The sequence below is a fragment of the Homo sapiens genome, chromosome 21, assembly GCF_000001405.40.
Source record: "Homo sapiens chromosome 21, GRCh38.p14 Primary Assembly".
Lineage (NCBI taxonomy): Eukaryota > Metazoa > Chordata > Mammalia > Primates > Hominidae > Homo > Homo sapiens.
Genome location: NC_000021.9, coordinates 21053799 through 21074293, shown reverse-complemented (window position 1 = coordinate 21074293; position 20495 = coordinate 21053799). Strand labels below are relative to the sequence as shown.

Sequence of the window (20495 nt, the reverse complement as noted above, 5' to 3'; positions counted from 1 at the left end):
AAATGTAAAATTTATTTTATATTCATCAAAATCGTTTAAATTATATTATACATCATAATTTTCTAAGACTAAATTGATATTAAATTACAATTCTTTATGTACTATATGACGGACAGAAATATAGCATACTTGGAAATTTTTCTAAAGGGATATTAAATGTGATTTTCACAGTGACAATTTTATTACATAATTATGGATGTGTAATTATATCAAATGAATGTTAAGCAAACAAACTTGTAATAAAAACAATATAATATTAGGAACTACCAAGAGCACTGTGTTGTAGAAAGAGCTAAGGGAGGAAATCAGAAGGTCCCAATTTTTCTCCTGGCTCTGAAGAAAAGTTTTTGACCCTCTGCTAGTCACTTTAAATCCTCAATCAGAGTCTCAGGTTCGTCTTCTGTAACATATGGAAGATAAACCTGCCTAACATATATTCTGGTTACTAGGACTGGAAACGAGCATATATTAGAATTTCTTGTCATGTTATGTGACCTAAAATGCCTGCACTTGACAGGCTAGGGGAATTGTTGATTGACTGTTTCTAAAACTGGACTGGACAATGTGGTTGTATGGAGTGGGCTTCATACCTCCAGATATTAATTACTTAATTACTCGGTCTGAGGTATGTTAAAGGTACAGTGAAAATCAGAGACACAGCTCCTCTGTTGTACATGTCATAGCATGTGCAGGGTCTTAGAGAAATGCTAGGTTAATTGCTCACTGAAATTTTGCAGGATGCACTGAATGTGTTATGAGTGAGGCATAATACATTAGATATAACACAGGATGCAATGTATTTTCAGTGAAGTTTAAACTTTAGAGTCATATATGCCTTTATAAATGGCCATCTCCAAGTAACATGCTGAAAAAAATACTTGATTAAATATTGTGATCTGTATCTTACATTTGCAACTCTTTTTTAGACACAGATTAATAATAGTATACTATAAACTATAAAACTTAATTACCAGAAAATCTTAACAATTAGTGTTTTCAGTGGTAGAACTAAAAATTTTATGGAATTTTAAAAGGAAGTCTTGGTGAATAGCATTTATAAGTGTGTCCATCAATAGATAAATGGACAAATAAAATGTGATATATGCATACAATGGAATATAATTCAGCCTTAAAAAGAAAATAAATTTTGACATATGCTGCATATGAATGAACCCTCAAGTCATTAGGCTAAGTGAAATAATCCAATCACAAAAAACAAATATTGCATTATTCCACTTACATCAAGTACACAGAGCAGCCAAATTCAGAGAGACATAAAGTACACTGGAGATAGGGACTGGAGGTAGGAGGGAATTGAAAGTTATTGCTTAATGGGTATGAAGTTTCAGTTTGAGAAGTTGAAACAGTTCTGGAGATGGACGGTGGGATGGTCACACAACATTGTGAATATACTCACTGCCACTGAACTACACACTTCAAAATGCCTAAAGGATAAATTGTATATTATGTATATTTTACCACGAGAGAAAGTTATAAATAAATCTTTAAAAAATTGTAAATATATATTTATTAAAATTAAATAGAAGTCAGAATACTAAAATAAATAGGGCAGCAGTAAATTTTAGGCAAGTTACACTAATAATGGGCACTCAACAATTTGTATTCTTTTAGTAATACAAGCAGAATTTCCATGTTTGAAAGTTTCAATGAAACGTTTTCAGATCCATTTCCCTTTGTAGATGGTAATATCCCTACCAGCAAAAAGTCTAATTTATTTATCTGGTCCTCTATAAAACTTTTTAATGATATTTTACATTGTCATACAATGCCACTGAACATTTTTCCTTCCATTCCTCTATGTTATAATAGTTTGATTTTAACTTTAGAAATTTTGTAAGTTTTCTATAAGTATTTCTTAAATGAAGATCTTAGATTTGTCCTTGAGATCTTAGCTAATTTTTGATGTAAGAGAAACATTTTAGAGGCAACCAGTATGTACATGGTCACTCTTTCCTTACAATATATTACTGAGAAAGAAGCCAACATGGGTTATGTGGATTCTGATAATTCCATTTCCATTTAAACATGTCATATTCGCTACCCTCAAAAATATTACAAATAGGCCAGGTGCTGTGGCTCATGCCTGTAACCCCAGCACTTTGGGAGGCCGAAACGGGAGGATCGCAAGGTCAGGAGATCGAGACCATCCTGGCTAACACGGTGAACTCCCATCTCTACTAAAAATACAAAAAATTAGCCAGGCGTGGTGGCGGGTGCCTGTAGTCCCAGCTACTCGGGAGGCTGAGGCAGGAGAATGGCGTGAACCCGGGAGGCGGAGCTTGCAGTGAGCCGAGATCGCGCCACTGCACTCCAGCCTGGGCAACAGAGCAACACTCCGTCTCAAAAAAATATAGATAGATAGATAGATAGATAGATAGATAGATAGATAGATAGATAGATAGGCAGACATGACAAATAATTGGGCAGTATACACTTTATTATGTAGCTAACATTTACTGAATCTTTTTTCCATTTCCCTTTTTTCCGCAGATATTTAAACATTTGCTTATTAAAATGCCATTTTAATTATTCCATCTTAGAATAATTATACTTCGTCAATTTCCACAACTTTTTGAAAAACCAGAGGAAAAAAATATTAAAACCAAGTTAATATTATGACGGATGGCATAAATTATTTTCACTTCTAACTTTATTTTTCAATTTAACTTCTAACTCTATACGTCAATGCTATAGCTGCATAAACCTTTTTCAATGCAATGCCTGCAACTTCACTTTAAAGGCATGAAAATCTTAAATATCAAGTGTTATCTTCTCAAACACAAAATCAAATGCTTTTTTTTTAGCTTGAGCTCTGCACTCTGGACTTGCTTTCTCCACATTTGTTTTACCATCTCCCAGAACATTTTATTTTGAAAAATTCCCAATTTACAAAGAAGCTTAGAGTTTGGGTCATCAATAACCCCATAAAATTCGCCAATGTTTACCAATTTGCTTCACCAACTCTAAGTTGATAGCAGGCACATGTTTCTCATTTGTTCCCTTCATTCCTCATGTTCCTTCCTTTTCTTTCAAATGTCTATTCCCTAAGATTGAACAACATGTCCTAAGTTCTTCAATTTTTACATTCTCTTTCTTGAAGATCTCATTTACTCATAGGAATTAGTATATCAGTTTTTCGTGAAAACACTGAAACCTTTATCTCATTTTGTGACTGCTCAGAAGCTTTGATTATGTGTTTGTAATCAGCTGGCTCAAATTTCCTCTTTAATAACCCTCAATTTAATTCACTAAGTTTAGAAACGTACTCTCAAAACTTTATTTCCCATTTGCCTTCTTTTCCTTCTGTTTAATGTTACTGTCATCCTACCAATTTTACAAGCTCCCTAGAGGCATTTCAAATTATTAATTTTTCTTCAAATGTAATATCTAACTACTTTCCATTTTCCTCTCACAATATTTATTGGATAGCCCATTCCTAGCTAGACTGACTACTTACCAACAGGATGTAGGTTACTACCAATTCATCAACAGAGGTGGGAAAGGCTATTTGAATATCCATAATCCTTGCCATCTTTAGTTAATCAGGCACATTTATGCATTCTGCTCACCCAGCAACTCTACACTGACCACCTAATCTCCCTATTTAAAAGTAGTCAATGACTTCTTTACCTATAATATGAAGAACACAGTTACTACCACAACATGTTAGACCCAAACTTGGTGCAACTTCCCTTTTAGCCTCCAACTACTCACTTTAAATAAATACTCATGTTTTCCTTACTTTCTTGCCTTCATTTCACCCCCCTCTTCCTCTGTTCAATTCCACTGCCCTCTGTCTACCCTTTTATCACTGCTGATTACTCCTCCTTCATTAGTTTCTGTTTGTTATATTAGTGCATCCATCTAATTATATGGCATTTTGACAGAGAAAGACTTTTTGTATTGTCATTTAACAATTTATTTTTTCTATCTTCTATTTGTGCCATGATTTTCCATAAATTGATAACATATTTACATATTAGATTATATATATATATATATATACACTATGTACATATATCAGGTTATATAGGTGTGTGTACTTTTATAAATGGGTTGTTCATTTTTTGTTTTATTGTTTGATATTTTGGCCTCCATAGTAATATGTCTGGAGCTTGATCTTTATAAGTTTCTCCTGGTTCTGTGAAATCTATTATCACCAAATTTTCACGAACCAGGCAATGACATTACTATTTATTTTGTAGGTTGAAACATTTTTTAGCATGCAAGGAACTTATTCAGCGTGCATGCATACACATGCACAAAAACACATTAAATTGCCGGTGTTCACAGTGCATGTGAAGGTAATTGCAAGAAAATATGTTTTAAAAGCAACAATAGAAAGATAAGAAAAGTACAGGACACTATTAAAAAAGGGTGATGAACTCTGTCTTGGGATGTCACAGAAGGTCCCCAGAGGATATTTCACTGCAGTTGAATGCTTAAAGATTGGAAAGGTTTCCAGGTAGACATCGAGAGGAGTTGGAAATAAGAAACGTAAAATTCAGTCTGGGTTTCCTTCTTTTTTAGCTTTGTACCTCTACCCCTAGGAAATGTCTCATTTTACCACTTATCACTTCCCTGCCTTCAAAAGTACAGGCATCATGGTATTAACCTAGTCCCACAATTTGTGTCATACATTTTATTTCTGGAATTCCTCAAAACATCTTTTAAAGGAAGGGTAGGTCGAAAAGTGTTTGAGTGGGTACACAGTTGGGGAATCATCACCAGGTATTAGAACTTACCTGTGGCAAAGAGGTATTACTATACTATGGGTAGTCTATGACAGAAAACATTTTCTGTGCTATCAGAAAGATAATTAAACCTTTTTGGTTTGCAATTACTACTCTGGGAAAATAGTCAAGTTAAGGAAGGAGATGATGTTGATAGCTAACGCATTTTTAACCTAAAGGGTCTCTTCTGCAATTTTAAAGGTTAAATAAAAATATTATTCATATATAATTTACATTCTCTCTGCTCCTAGAAAATGAACTGATATATACAATGAAAGACACTTCAGCATTAAGTACATATTAATAAATCACCTATATTTCTTCTTAGATAAGAATTAGTGAATTCAACTAGCTTCAGTCGAATTTTTACATGGGGACATAACACACAATGTATGAAAAACTCTCCAGAGTTTCCATGAGTTTCTGAATATTCTCCATAGTGAATATAATTACAATTGGATTTTAATCATATGCAAATTAGCTAGAGTACATTATCTTATAAAATCAGTTTTTAAAGTCACATGAAATTGCATCCCTTTGGAAACTAGAAAGTATCAACTTAGCAGAGTGATTCCAGGAAAGCATTTGGCCATGGAAATATGACAGTACTTTTACATTTTAGTATGAGCTACAAGGTTGAACTAGCAGTGAAAAAAGCAATAATGGGTGGTATGAAAATTTTAGATATATATAAAGTGACTTCACAAACTGGAATATTAACAACTTGGAAAAAGTGTGTAGCACCCGTTACGCAGATAATAATACAAAAGAGGAGCGTAATAACGATAAGTCATTGGTCATTGCATACAAATGCAATACCTTGGGAGACCGAGGTGGGCAGATCACAAGGTCAAGAGTTCGAGACCAGCCTGACCAACATGGTGAAACCCCTTATCTACTAAAAATACAAAAATTAGCCAGGCATGGTGGCACATGCTGGTAATCCCAGCTACTCAGGAGGCTGAGGCAGAAGAATCGCGTGAACCTGGGAGGCGGAGGTTGCAGTGAGCCGAGATTGCGCCACTGCACTCCAGCCTGGGCTACACAGCTAGATTCCATCTCAAAAAAAAAAAAAAAAAAATGCAATACCATGACTACCACAGGACACTGTTGTGTGGTGGCTCAGGCCTGTAATCCCAGCACTTAGGGAGGCCAAGGCAGGCGGATCACCTGAGGTCAGGAGTTCCAGAACAGCCTGGCCAACATGGTGAAGCCCAGTCTGTACTAAAAATACAAAAAATTAGCCAGGCACGGTGGTGGGTGCCTATAATCCCAGCAACTCTAGAGGATGAGGCAGGAGAACCTCTTGAGTCCTGGAGGCAGAGGTTGCAGTGAGCCAAGCGCCACTGTACTCCAGCCTAGGCGACAGAGCAAGACTCCGTCTCAAAAAAAAAAAAAAAAAAAGAAAAAAAAGTCATTATTTTAGTAGTACATAATTAATTAGTCTTTATTTGGTTATGTACATCTTTCACAAAAAGTTAAATGAACACCTTACATACATGAAAACCAAGTTCCTCAATCAGAAAGTTATTTCTTTCATCAAGAAACTGAGCTTTAAAAATATAGCACTTTTTGGAAGACAAGAAGACAAGAAATTCAGTTTTTTTAATGTATCCTGACCCAATTCCTCTGCCCCAATATACATCATCCATCTCTATTATAACCCACATAAAAGGGTCAATGGGCTATATTCCATAATTCCCTTGATTATATAACTATATGCAAAGAAAACATATACTGATTCTAATTTATCAACAGAGAAATAGATCTGGCCCTGCCAGTTTATTTTTTCTCTCATGTTCTTAGAATAATTTATGCAAGTCTACTTTTTTCTTTCTTCATAGGAATTTAAAACAATTGTATGTAATTAATATAAGTAGAATGATTATGTTAGATTTATACAAAGGTCTTACCAGTGTTTAAAGAGGGGTCTGTGAAAAGTAGGATGATGCAAGAAAGACTATAGAATGTATTGCATAATATCAGAGTGTGCATTCTCCCAAAGTTTTCAATACATATTGAGAAGAACTGAGTGAAATGTTGGAAAATGCACATTCATATGGTAATTCATATTATTCCTATATAAAAGAGGTAGCCCATGTTTTAAGATCAATATTCCATTATTTGTCTATATATGTCAGTAGCATATTGTAAAATTTATACTTGTAATATTCATTAACATAGTTCTCATGTTTTATTACAAACGTGGTACACAATTCCCCTCTTCATACTTGTTTATGAAGTTTATTTTTTCTAGAAAAGAGCACTTTTTAGTAACGCATTTTTAATTGAAGTAATATTCTCTCTCTCATGCCAGCTTTAAAGATAGATTGTTACAATCAATTAAGTTTTGCCTTTAAATTTACTGTGTAATACATTTTGCTATATTTAAATATAATTTTATAATAAATATATGTATTTTTAAACATTAAGTATATTAGCAATAATTTAAAAAAGTGTTTATGCATACAGCTCCTTTCTTAATATTTATACTCCATATCTGCATAAACCTACTTAAACAGACGCATATATTTTTAATGATTTCCAGTAGCAATATAACATTTAGTTAACATTAAGGTAATACCCCCAGTGGAATGAGTATCTCTAACACACGCTACAGTTATGCTGTAGTTCTCTCCATTGCTAAGATCAAATGATCACTTCCTATCAATAACACAGTAATTCAGTTATTTCCATAGAAACATTAAGAAAACTGACTTCATCTAATAATGCTTTGGGTACATTAAACACCTGTAAACAAATTTTAGCTTGCTATAGGCTTAAAAGTATATATATTTATAATATTTCAAATGTAAATCTGGTTCCAAAATCATTCTAAATTTCCTTTGGATTTTAAAGTAAAAGACGAAACAACAAAAAAGCCAACAACCTAAAATACATCATTGGAAAATTAATTTTACAATTTTACTTTATACTTATATTGAACTTTCTTGCGCATAGAGGCATCAATAGTAGCATGTCAAAAGATCAAGCAGTGTTTCCACAGCTACATCATTTTTTAGCTGTGTCCCATAATGCCAATAACAATAGCAGAAGCAACAGTAAAACAATTACGGTTTGAATTAAATGCCTTAAAGGTGTATATCTGTGTGTGTGTGTGTATATGTTATAAAAAACTGCATTTAGAGTCATACATTCTATATATGGAATAATTCAAATCAAATCAGGTGTCATTTTTAAATGTGCTAATATACAAAAATTAACTTAAAACACCAATCTCCATTGTCTGGCAAAGCAAAGGTATGGTAACAAAAAACTGTATTCAAAGACGAAACTCTGACCATAAAATCAAGTATCTATTCATTTGTAAGAAAATGATAAATTCATCAGCAAAAGATGAATCTCTTTTACATTTCAAATTCTACCAAACTGCAGAGAGAACTGAACAGAGAAATATCCAAATTACATAGAATATCCCATGAAGAAGTATCGTCCTTGTGTCTCCAATTTGAAATTCATTCACTGATCATAGGGGCACTTAACAAGGACACTCCCTGCTCAGTAAATCTGGAGACAGGTCATAGAGGCATCTGTTCTGCATATACCTATTTAATGAGGTCATTTGGTACACATACCATGCATTGGGGAGTGCTTAATTTTTAGTAGGACCATTAATCTAGCTAAGAGTTAGTGAATTAAAATTATCTTTGAATTGAAATAGAACACTCCCTTGTCTAATTTGCTCAAATTTATTGACATAAAACTCTTACATATAAACCGTTTTGTAAATGGCTAAGGATAAATATAGTAGTCATAGTACACACTCCCATCAAAATAACGAAGCACTTCTATGACCTTGAAGATAATTAGAACTCAACGAATTTTAAACAATGAATATTGAATTTGTCTTGAAATAGCCATCCTCAATGAATTGGGACTCTAGAAACCCTGCGGTATATTGATTATAGAATAATTTTTCAAGGCGTCATTTTTAATGACGAGATACTTACATGATTAAAAACACAACGTAAAGAAGATTCACCTATTCAAAAATGAGGAGAATAAAAAGTATTCATTCAGTGCCACATCACTTACAGTTTATGATGCTTAGACTGTGGGTTATGTAAAGTATTTGTTGTTTTTGTTTTTGTCGTTGTATTAGGTAGTTTTTGTTGTCCACAGATCAGATATAAGTACAAGCAATAAAGCTTAAGACTCATGTAAATCAAGTGGGAAAAAAAAGACCCAGATGACTTAGGGTTTTAATATAATTGCTTGTTAAATGGGATTAAAGGAAAGGAAGTATTATTGGCTTATGACTTCTATAATTTTCTCTTATTTGGAAGTAAGTTTTTTTTGTTTTGTTTTGTTTTTTTGTTTTTTGTTTTTTGTTTTTTTTGAGAGAGAGTCTTACTCTGTCGCACAGGCTGGAGTGCAGTGGTGTGATCTCGGCTCACTGCAACCTCCGCCTCCCCGGTTCAAGCGATTCTCCTGCCTCAGGCTCCTGAATAGCTGGTATTATAGGCTTGCACTATCAGGCCTGGCTAATTTTTGTATTTTTAGTAGAGACGGGGTTTCACCATGTTGGTCAGGCTGCTCTTGAACTCCTGACCTCAGGTGATCCACCTGCCTCAGGCTTCCAAAGTGCTGGGATTACAGGTGTGAGCCACTGCGCCCACCCTTGGAAGTGAGACTTTTAACCCTAGAAAAGAAATGAGCACAGAGTAATCATGTTGCCCGTTGATCAAGTTCTTAACTCATTTGACATCTAGGTTTACACACTGAAAAATATAGTAGCAGTCCCATATGTAAACAGTTATAATAAGCTAAAACCCATTTCCTGAGGCCTTGAGATTAATGTTTCTCAGTTTTCTGTAGCATGATTCAGGATTTTATTACCAGAAACTGTCCACATGAATTTCTACTGAAAAAGCCAAATTGATTTTAAAAAATGACACATCTCAGAGTGATGAACCCTGAGGGGCAAGAGAACACTTCTTCCCACAGCAATTCCTAGAATGACTAACCTAGCTGGTGACCACCTGCAGGTGGAAGACAATGCTTTCAGTGGAGAAAAGACAATAAATGACAGAAACCATAATAGTGGGACCTCAGCAAGACATCAATAATACGATATAGTACAATTCTTAATGAGTTATGTGATTGAGAAATTTTGGAGCCAAGATATTTAAAGAAGCCTTCTGCCCAGCACATTCCATAGAAGTTCTAGGCCAGCCCTTTTTATGAATGCCAGAATGAAGATTAACATTGTTCTTTAAGATAGCTAGACTGAGTCTCCTTTTATTATACTCTAAAGTTAGAGGGTTTTGTACTTGGATTGAAGTCACAATTCTTAGCACGCCCTCAGTGGCTGGCATGAACCTTGCCCCCACCAATATCTCCAGCCTCAAAGCCTCCACATTCAATGCTGTAGCCACACTGACCTAATTTTGTTTCCAACATGCACTAAAATCTCACAACTCAGGGCCTTCACACACTCTGCTCCTTCTACTTAAGATCTGTATCCCCCTAATTCTTTGGCAAGAATCACCCAGTATCCCTCAGGTCTAAGACAACAAGCCACTTCCTGGATGTCCAAATCCAAACAAATTAACTTTGCTTTCTCCTTGGCTGTTATCAAGAAATCATTATGTGTGCAAATATCACATGCCCATGGCCAGAACAGAAATATAATTGATGTAAGAAACTTTATACAAATTTTTTAACATTTTATCCCAGAGCTTAGTAATATGACTAATAAACAATAAGCTCTTAATACACATAGAGAAAAAAAATCAAGTATAAAATAATTGTAACGTAAACCAGTAATAAATACCAAAGAAACCACTGATATTAGTGTATTAAATATTCAAGTTATTGAATGATTTTGATTTTTGTTTTGTTTTGCTTTATTTTTCCTTCTTTTCTTTCGAAAGTTCTACACACATACTAAGGTAAGGATTTTAACAACTAGAAAATTTATTTTTTTTTGACACTTTCTATATTCATTTTTAATCTTCCCCATTATACATTTCATTTGGCATTAAGAATGTAACGTGTCCAGGCACGGTGGCTCATGCCTGTAATCCCAGCACTTTGGGAGGCTGAGGCGGGTGGATCACTTGAGGCCAGGAGCTCAAGACCAGCCTGGCCAACATGGTGAAACTCCATCTCTACTAAAAATACAAAAATTAGCCAGGCGTGCTGGCGCATGCCTGTAGACCCAGCTACTCAGGAGGCTGAGAGGCAAGAGAATCACTTGAACCCAGGAGGCAGAGGTTGCAGTGAGCCCAGGTCACCTCTGCACTCCAGCCTGGGTGACAGAGTGAGACTCCGGCTCAAAAAAAAAAAAAAAAAAAAAAAAAAAAGAATGTAAAGATAAACAGTGCTATGACTTGAGGGACCAGGGTAAAATTTAGGACTGATTCAAAGATATTTTAAGGCTATTTACCTATGCTACAGAACTGGTTTTGCCAGCATTAGGTGCAAATTTAAAAAGTAAGGTAAGATGGACTTTGTACTAGCAGAAAACTACTCAGATTTTTTGTTTTGTGTTAATGTTCATTTTCTCTTTTAGAAGAACTTTTATCCAGCATGAATTGCATTATGATACAACATAACACTAACACTGCAAAGATACTTGGAATGTAAATGCTTTATATTTTGAGAACCAAAATCAAGTATTTCAATTACTTCATCTGCATATGAGTTATGATCACCTTTCTCTGCATATGACACAATGTTTTTAAATGCTGATAAACTTAGGAATTTTTTTCTGAAAATGTTTACATTGTATGATTATTTTCAATCACAGATATGAGGCATAATTGACCTCTTTATCACTATAAAAATTAAAAACAAACAATACATTTTGTCTTTCAAAAAAACTGACCTACTAGTTGGTGCATTCGTTTGCTAGGACTGCCATTACAAAGTACCACAAACTAGGCGGCTTAAACAACAAAAATTTATCTCAAAGTTCTTGAGACTACAAGTCTGAGATCAAGATATCGGTAGCGTTAGCTCCTTATGAGGGCAAGTCCTAAAGGGCAAGCTTCCTGTTCCCTGAGTGCCTAACACATGGCTCTGAATAGATGCCCAACATTTGCTGAATGTGTAACTCACTGGGATTTGTGAAAATACGTATAAGTTATGATTTACCAGTCAAATATCACTTTCATGATTGTATTACTGTGATTGGAATTGAAATACTATGCTTCTAACTTTATGGATGGGGATGATGATTTCTGTATACTTAGGCGAAAAAAAAGCAAAATAAAAACGACTACAAAATACTTTGAGATATTTCTGTAAATCAGCATTTTGCAGATGGAAGTAATTTTAAATATATCCCACTATCCTTCAACTTTGTTTATACTTACGTATATGCCAATATTTAAAACCAGAAACAAACCCTCTCTTTTTCAAGATATTTTACTCACTTAAAGCTCCTCTCCTTTCAAATTAATATTAAAACTTTACATTATACCACTTCTAAATATTAAGGAAATATAGGAGTGATACCTCCCTTTATCATTTAAGTGAGGAGAGATGGTGTATCTTGGTTAAAGGTGTCTAGACAATCTACATATTTTAAAGTCAATTCTATGCTACCCTCTCCATTACGGCTGCTTTCCAACATAAAAAACACAAAGTGATGACAACAATTATTGCATTGAAATACTGGTAATATTCCTGTGATGTTATGGTGATTGAAAATCACAACACTGTAAGTGAATACATAATTTTTAAAACCTATGATGAATATTTAATAGATTAATATAACTAAGTAAAATAACAGTAAAAGCCCCTATAAAGGATGGTAAGTAGGCATACTGTTAAGACATATCTATGTGTTAAAATAAGTTTATATTTTAAAATATTCAATCAATTTCAAAACATTCAAACGACTTGATTTCTATTATTTTGTCATAGTACTTACTTCATAAGAAAAGATTCAAAAAGAATAGGCTGTATGATTCCAACATAATTAGTATCTTCTGTTTAACTCATCTCTGAACAGATTAATTAAATATTTCCAATCAGGTTATCAATCAAAGGGGCTTCATACTTTTTATGTGGTAAGTTCTATCAACTTAAACCTAGATAAGAAAGGTATCATGAATGTTCATCAAGACTGATAGTATAAAATGCATCTAAATCTAAATTATGTGATTATCATTAAAACAGGAACAAACTAAAGCATACCACCTGATGACAGAAAATATGTGTTCAGCATCTACAACTGTGATTGTTTATAGCAGCCACGTTGTAATTAAGCCAAGCCCCAGCAATAACTTTAAATGACACTTAGACTATATTCAAGAACACTTTGAAAGAAAATATTGAACACAGGTCTTTAACTCTTTTAGAACGGAAATATCAAATTATCTGCAGATGATGTGGATTGATGCTATTTAGCTGAACTCTTCAGACTATCACTTAATACCTACAGCTGTTTTCACTGCTATAAATTGCTACTCTGAAACGTCACATATTTTCACACCTTATACAATCCTTACTCCTTTTCCTCTCAGCAAACTTATACCTTAAAGAGAGAGGAAAAAAAGATGGCATCTGAAAATCTTCCTCACATACAATCTTCATTTTAGGCCCACCTTTCCTTGGCTTCTTCCTTTCTTCTTAGCATTTTTAGTTGCATGCCTATTATCCTAGAATAATAATCTCTTTACCTGGGCCCTGGATGACTTGCCCTGCATTCAAGGACATTCACCATCAACCAAGACTTTTCTCTTTTAAATCTTCCACTTCTTCCACTGTACCTGCTCTAAGCTCAATTAAAATAAGCCAACAAATAGGTTAAAAATGGGCTCTTCAAATAAAACTATATGTGTGGGTAAATGTCTGTGTGTGTCTATGCTACTCACATCCCCACCACACCATATTAAAAGGAAACACTGCAGTATTCCAATTTTGTCATTTTTTACTCCTGCTTAATAGGGTGTGATAGATTTATATTCCATCATAATAGACAATTTTAATTAGCATTAAGTATTATTAATGTTCCCATATGTCTTGAAAACTTGTTTCTGATAATGTTTTGATTTCTAAAATTGTCTGCTTAAGACAACATTTTAAATATATGGAAAGAAAATTAAACATATATCCACAGACTTTGGATAAATAGATAAAATAGTTTTTCTAAAAAATATCTACCAGAATCTGGAAGATTTAGACTAAAAAATACACAGAACCCATACACAGATATGCTTGTGCATTTAAAACATAATATGTTTGCATATTATTGAATGCTAAAATTAATATAATTTGATTATTGTGACTATTTTCACATATGGTATAATCATTTTACTGTTTTTTAGTGATGTGGTAAGCTGAAACACATCAAAATACTACCTTTTTCAATTGGCATTATGCATAATAAATCCAATTAAATTTAACAGCAGTGGAGTAAATACACTGTGATAAGTATAGCTATAATGGCCACTCACAAATACATGTCAAGCATGTACAAACGCAATCCTCACCTTATTATCAGATTAGTTCAGACATGTGAATGGCTGACATGTGAAATTATATTTCACATCATTAATTATAATGATAGTAAATCCACAGGGTTAGACATTTCCATATCGGAGCTAACATATTATCAAATAATTGCTCCAACATTACAGCCCTTTAACTTCTAGACCAGAATTTCTCTGTCTGGACACTATTAATATTTTGCACTTCGTTGAGGGTGGAGGTGCTTTCCCTGTAGCATATTTAGCAGCTTCCTTGGTCTCTATCTGCTACATACTATTGGCACCCCAACACCCATGTGCAGTGTGGCAACCAAAAATGTCTCTAGACATTGGCTAATGTGTTCTGTGGGATAAAACATCCTCATTGAGAACCACTATTTTAGAGAACGAGAATGTCTGTTCATCTAAAATCAAAGAGGATACTGTGCAAAACCATTTTTAACTTGTCAATAAAATGTGGCTTGTATGAGAAATGCTATGTAAAAGATGAAGTCTAGATTAATATGTACAAGAAACTATTATATTCCAAATATAAAAAGGTTCTTATGTTAGGTTCCCTAAATAGTATGGCCATTTAGTCCACTGTGGCTATTTATAAAACAGTCTTGGCATATACAACTCAGCAGCCACAAAGTCTAGAGTTAAATATTAATTTTATTTAAATTAAGCTAACCAAAGTTGCATTATCTGAAGTTCTGAAATGCTCTATCTCTGCTGCACTATTTTCTTCCAATACCCTCTCTCAATGTCCCCAAGTCTCTGACTTATTTACCTTAAAAATGTGGTTTTAAAATTCTCTTCTGGATCAAATGACATTGCAGAAAGCTTTTTTCCTGGCTTGGATCTAGTCCTCTCCCTGCCTTTATACATACTTCTCTTATATCTCAAATACTGTACACTGAATCAAAAAATAAAGAAATGCAAAGAAGATGGCATATATAAATTATATAAGAGGTAGTCACAAAATGAGTCAAACATGTGACATGATAGATTAATAAAGAGTTAATATAAACTTGTTGCTTTAAAAGAAAAATGTCTATTTCATATTAAACAAGACAGAGATATGCAGTCAAGGAAATATCTGGGATATTAAATTCAGCTATGAATGCCATACTTTAAGTAGCTATTGGAAACTGATGATCGTGGATAGTCCTTCGAAAAAAGCACTAGAATGTCCAAAAACAGTCTAATAGAAATTCACATGGAGGTATTTGTATTAGTAAGCAATAGTAAGAAATACAATGAAGAATGGAAAAGCAAAAATGCAGTGAATAATAAAATGTTCTGAAAGAGAAAACTCTTCTTTTTCTTCGTTTTTCCATATGGAAATGTATGCAAAATAACATGTATTTCTACATGACTCAATGGGTCAATGTAGAAGTACAATGAATAAAAAAAAAAAAAAATCCTGTGTGAATTTTAATGCAAGTCTGCTTCCACAAACACCTGAATCCATGGCTGACAAAACAAAAGCATTCAAAACACTTCACATAGGTTTACACAGGTAAATAAAATACTTGAGGCAACATATTTCTGCCTCTGTAGCAAATAGCTACATGTTTCTTTTTATTTTTCCTTGAGAGTATAGACATATTTGGTAATAATCTTTAACACAAATTAACACATATTTAATGCATATTCACAAAATAAAATATCATTTGCTTTATCACAAAGTAGACAATATTCAAAGTGACCCCAACAGATAAATGTGAAACTAGGTTTAGGAATTCATATGTGCAATGAAATAATGTCATACAACAAGCACACATACATATGCACACACACATAGCAAGTGGGTCCCAGTATTTCGAACTTTAATCAAGTGAAAGTGGGAGCAAACTGCTGTTTTATATCTTGTTTTTTTTCTTTGCCCTTTGGTTTTAAGTGTGGAAGCTAGTTTGTTTTTTGGGTTTTTTTTTTTTTTTTTTTTTGAAGAGACTTAGGGCCCACTTTGGCACATTCTTTTTGTTCATTATATATAATCAATTCACCCAGAGTTACTGGGCATTAGTGATCTCTGGAGCAGATGGCTGTTGATTAAGGACAAAGCATTATGTTCAATCATATAGAAGTCATTTTCATTGGGAGCAGGAAATTCTTCGGAGACATCATCATATCATGCTCCTCTCTTGCCACTGGCTAGGCCTAAAGGAGACAGGTATTGGAGTCTCCATAAGGGGTAGGGAAAGTTAACGTGAGGGATATCCCATAGAGAAGGTCAGAATTTGAAGAAATAGCTGTTAAAGGACTCACAGGGAAAGAGAGAGGCCTGAAGCTTTTAGGAGCACAGGTAGATGATATCCCGTTTTAGCTAGTCAATAGCGTAATTTCATTTTATTATCCTCAGCCCTTAGGAAAGTCTTTCTTAAATGACAACTTTAAAAATGCTTTTGTTAAATATGTAAGAATGGCAATTGCATGGAGAAGGGCCCAAAAGCAGTCGTGATGGGGAAAAGTTATGAGCACAGATTAGATGAAGGATGACAAGTAACGATCAGGAAGGATTTGTCGGGTGCATGAGGACTTTGTCCCAGCAGGAAGCACTTATCCTTGTGGAATATAAGTGCTCCGACACTGTACAATGAAAGTATGAGTTACCTCTCTGAAGTCTGGAAACCTTGAGAGTATTAAGGTTACATGCATAAAATCTTTAAAATGGAAGTGTCATTACATGGTAAACCAATTCAAATTAAAAATAATCTCATGCTGTGAAAGCAAAATATATAACTGGTTTACCCATTCATAGGTAATTGCACGTCTTTGTTACATCTCAATAGTTTCTTTGTATTTGTTGCAATCACCCTCCTTCTTCTCAACACTCTTTTCTACCTCCATGTAACTGCTGTTGTGAATTCTTTATAATATTCTCATCAATGTTTAAAGATGAAGTTTAAAGTGCTTACAAAGGAAGCATTTTAACTCCTCTTAGAACTGAGCCTTTAAATTTGGTTTTAGACACCCTAGGTCTTTCTTTCAATCTTTCAATACTATAGTGGTTAGCCTCTTTATATTTTGGGGGGAAAGTATTTATATATGAAACACTCTTTAAGAGAACATGTTAAAGACGAGTAGGATTTTTTATAATAAAACAAAAATAAAATATTTCAGTCCAGTCTATAATTAAAGAGGGTATATAATATCAGATAAATAAATGGGGAGAAAGCAAAGACTATGAAGGCTCAAGAGTTTAGTTTCTTAACTGTTACATGATTCTCGCTCCAATTATGAAAGAGCACCCTGAAATCTCCAGGCTTCCCGTGACCTTCTCATCATGATATTATCTATCTATATTTATTTGCAATTTTAAAATGTTTAAACCAAACTATACTAAGACTTTCTATGAGTAGCAACAATTTCATGGTTGTACTCCATGATGGAAGAATTTCGACTCTTCCTGTCTTTCAGATCAGTTTGACTTCTGGAGAGCCATGTCACACCTCTGTTTTTTCTTTAGGAGAAGTAATCGTCTTTGTGATTGAAAAGATTCTCTCTCTCTCACTATCTCTCTCTCTCACTCTCTCTCTCTCTCCTCTCTCTCCCCCTCTCTCATGCACACACACACACACACACACACACACACACACAGACATATCTCTGTCACTTGCTCTAAACTGTCAATTACCCATTTATATTAGTGTTATCTGGAAGAATTTTTGCAACTTGATAACTGAGTCAGATGAATGGGCAATATTACCAATGTAAATTAAAATTACGCTATTGGGGGAAAAAAAGAAAGTCAAATATAATCTATTTGCTCATTTATTCCAATAGGAATTCCACAGTTTTTCCTCAAGATTATATTCAATACACACTGTTAATCAAAGGGAAAGCTACTGGAAAGTTTAATGAATAAATATGACTCCCTGATTCCATGTTTAGATCTTAAAGTGCATCATTTCAGTACTATGTAGCATTTCTAATATATAAAGACACAGGCTTTTTTTCCTCCAATTATTTTATTGCTATGCGTAAAGATAGTAGTTAATACAGTGCAAATAAAAAATGCTTAAGCCAGAATTTCTTTACCTAGAGAGAGAACAGTTTATTGACTATAAAAATATTGCTAGCAAAATGAGGTACCTTAAGAAGAGTGTACTGTTTTTATCTTTTATTCATCCTGATGGATTTTTAGTCCCATAATATTTAGGGATGTGTAAGTGTCATAATAATGGTGACAAGAGCTACTAATTACCGAACATGGATTATGCCAGCATTGTATTTACATGTTTCCTCTTTCACTTCACACATCAAATCTACGAGTTAGGCTCGATTATTACTGATTTTACAAATGGGGAAAGTAAGGTTTAGGAAGTGTAAATAACAGCTACTAAGTGATGAGACACTTAGTCTAATCCCAAATCTCAAGTGGGGTGTCCCTGAGCCTTCTCCTAACTGCTAACCTTGAACACCAGTTCCCCAGTGATCTCCATTTTGTGTTGAGATGAGCTTTAGTTTTTACATATTACTAAGAAGCTGTTTTTCCTCCTTAGAGTTCATTATAATTCAAACAAATTAAGAAGTTAGATTGAGAAGAAAATAGGTAAGCAGGTCTGCTCTCAGAGCTGTTCATGTTCCCTATCATTACCCTACACCTAAAAAGTCTCCTATTAATACATTAAAACTGTCATTATTTTAGTAAAGGAATAGTCAATGTAGTTTTCTGTTTGTTATTTACTGGATAATAAGTTGTTGGATCACAAGAGATAATAAGGTTATTTTTAAAGCATCTTTAAAGGTGCCCAGTGGGCATAATCACACAGACACATACAAATTATCTGAATGATTTCACAGGATAATCACTTAATCATTCTTTAAGTGTTTTGGAGACAATTTATATGACTTCATGTGGCTTCTTGGTTTTATTATTATTATTATACTTTAAGTTCTAGGGTAAGCTTCTTGGTTTTAATCACCTTTCTGAATTTACACAGCACTATCAAAAATATACCAATACTTAACAGATAAGAAAGGTTGTCTGAAAATTAAGAGATGTTACAAAAAGAAATAGCATGTTTATATTTCTCTCTTGTAGCTAATATTTTTAAGTTTCATTTTCCTTAAGGGTGTTTGTGAGATACATTCTTTCCTATGGATCTCAAAGCTAAAGAAAATATTCCCAACTTAGGGTCTTAAGCCAACTTCGTTTCTACATATAAGAAAACTTCATTCTAAGGAAGTATTTAAAAATTTATGAGGCAGAAACAGTATCCTGGACTTTTCTGCAGGACTGAGAGAAAAGAATCTAAAACAGTTAAAGGCTAGTTTTAAGCAGCACACTGTTCAGATTTTGTCAGTTTTCCTATACTCATAGTTCTCTTTGAGACAAATTTTCAAAATCTAATTTAACAGAGAGACTTGAATTAATTTTGGCAAAAAGTATGTTATGTCAAACTTTTAATTCATTTCTTTTCTAGCAATTTAAAATAGACATCGGTATCACATCTTTTGGAATCAATTTACATGTGTTTTAAATCACTGTATATATTGATTTCATATGCCTGTGTGTTAACACTTGGGTAATTACTCTGGCAATACATCTTGATAGATATTATCGAGTCTATGGTTATAAACCATGCCTTTAAATTTTGTTCTAATTATCATGAGCTAGTATTTGAGTATGTAAGGAGTATATCTTCATGTACTAAATCACAGTTACAACCTTAACATTTTACGCTGATCTGTTAGACCACAGGAGTACGTTAGCAGTAAGATTTACAAACTGAAGTAAATGAGTTCAAACACATTTTTAAAAATAACCCATCTGTTTGAATATCTGAAATACTGTACTGTGTGGTGACAACCAATATTCACCAACAAATTTGTACTTACGCCTAGGTTCCTAATATGTAACATTATTGAAAAAATTTCTAATTCAGATTATTCAATCACAAAGTCATGAAAAGCTTCGGCAATGACTGTTGACTGGGTAGGCACAATTTATAGTTTATAATGTTTATTTTATAAAAAGTAGAGTTTCTAATTCTGAAGTCAAACCAATGAAAATGTCAAGTGATCTTTTGGATGTTGGTATGGAGTAAATAATTGGTGTTTCCAAGGATCACCTTCCAAACTTACACGGAAATCATAACACATACCAAATTATATAAAGATGTAGAGTTGAAAAAAAAAAAGAATAGCTTAATCCTAAACCTATAGGAACAGGTATGTACTCATAGTAATGTTCAAAATAGTAAAAGTTTTATTATTAAAAATACCATATATGAATGTATATATGTATGTATATACATATAAGTAAGTAGAAAAAGAACAACAATAT

The 20495-nt window shown here is 33.6% G+C and overlaps 1 protein-coding gene across 9 annotated transcripts in view; it reads right to left on the bottom strand.

The window, feature by feature from the left end:
* The window catches only part of NCAM2 (neural cell adhesion molecule 2), a 544921-nt gene that overhangs the window by 469036 nt on the left and 55390 nt on the right, over nt 1-20495 (bottom strand). The window lies entirely within an intron of this gene.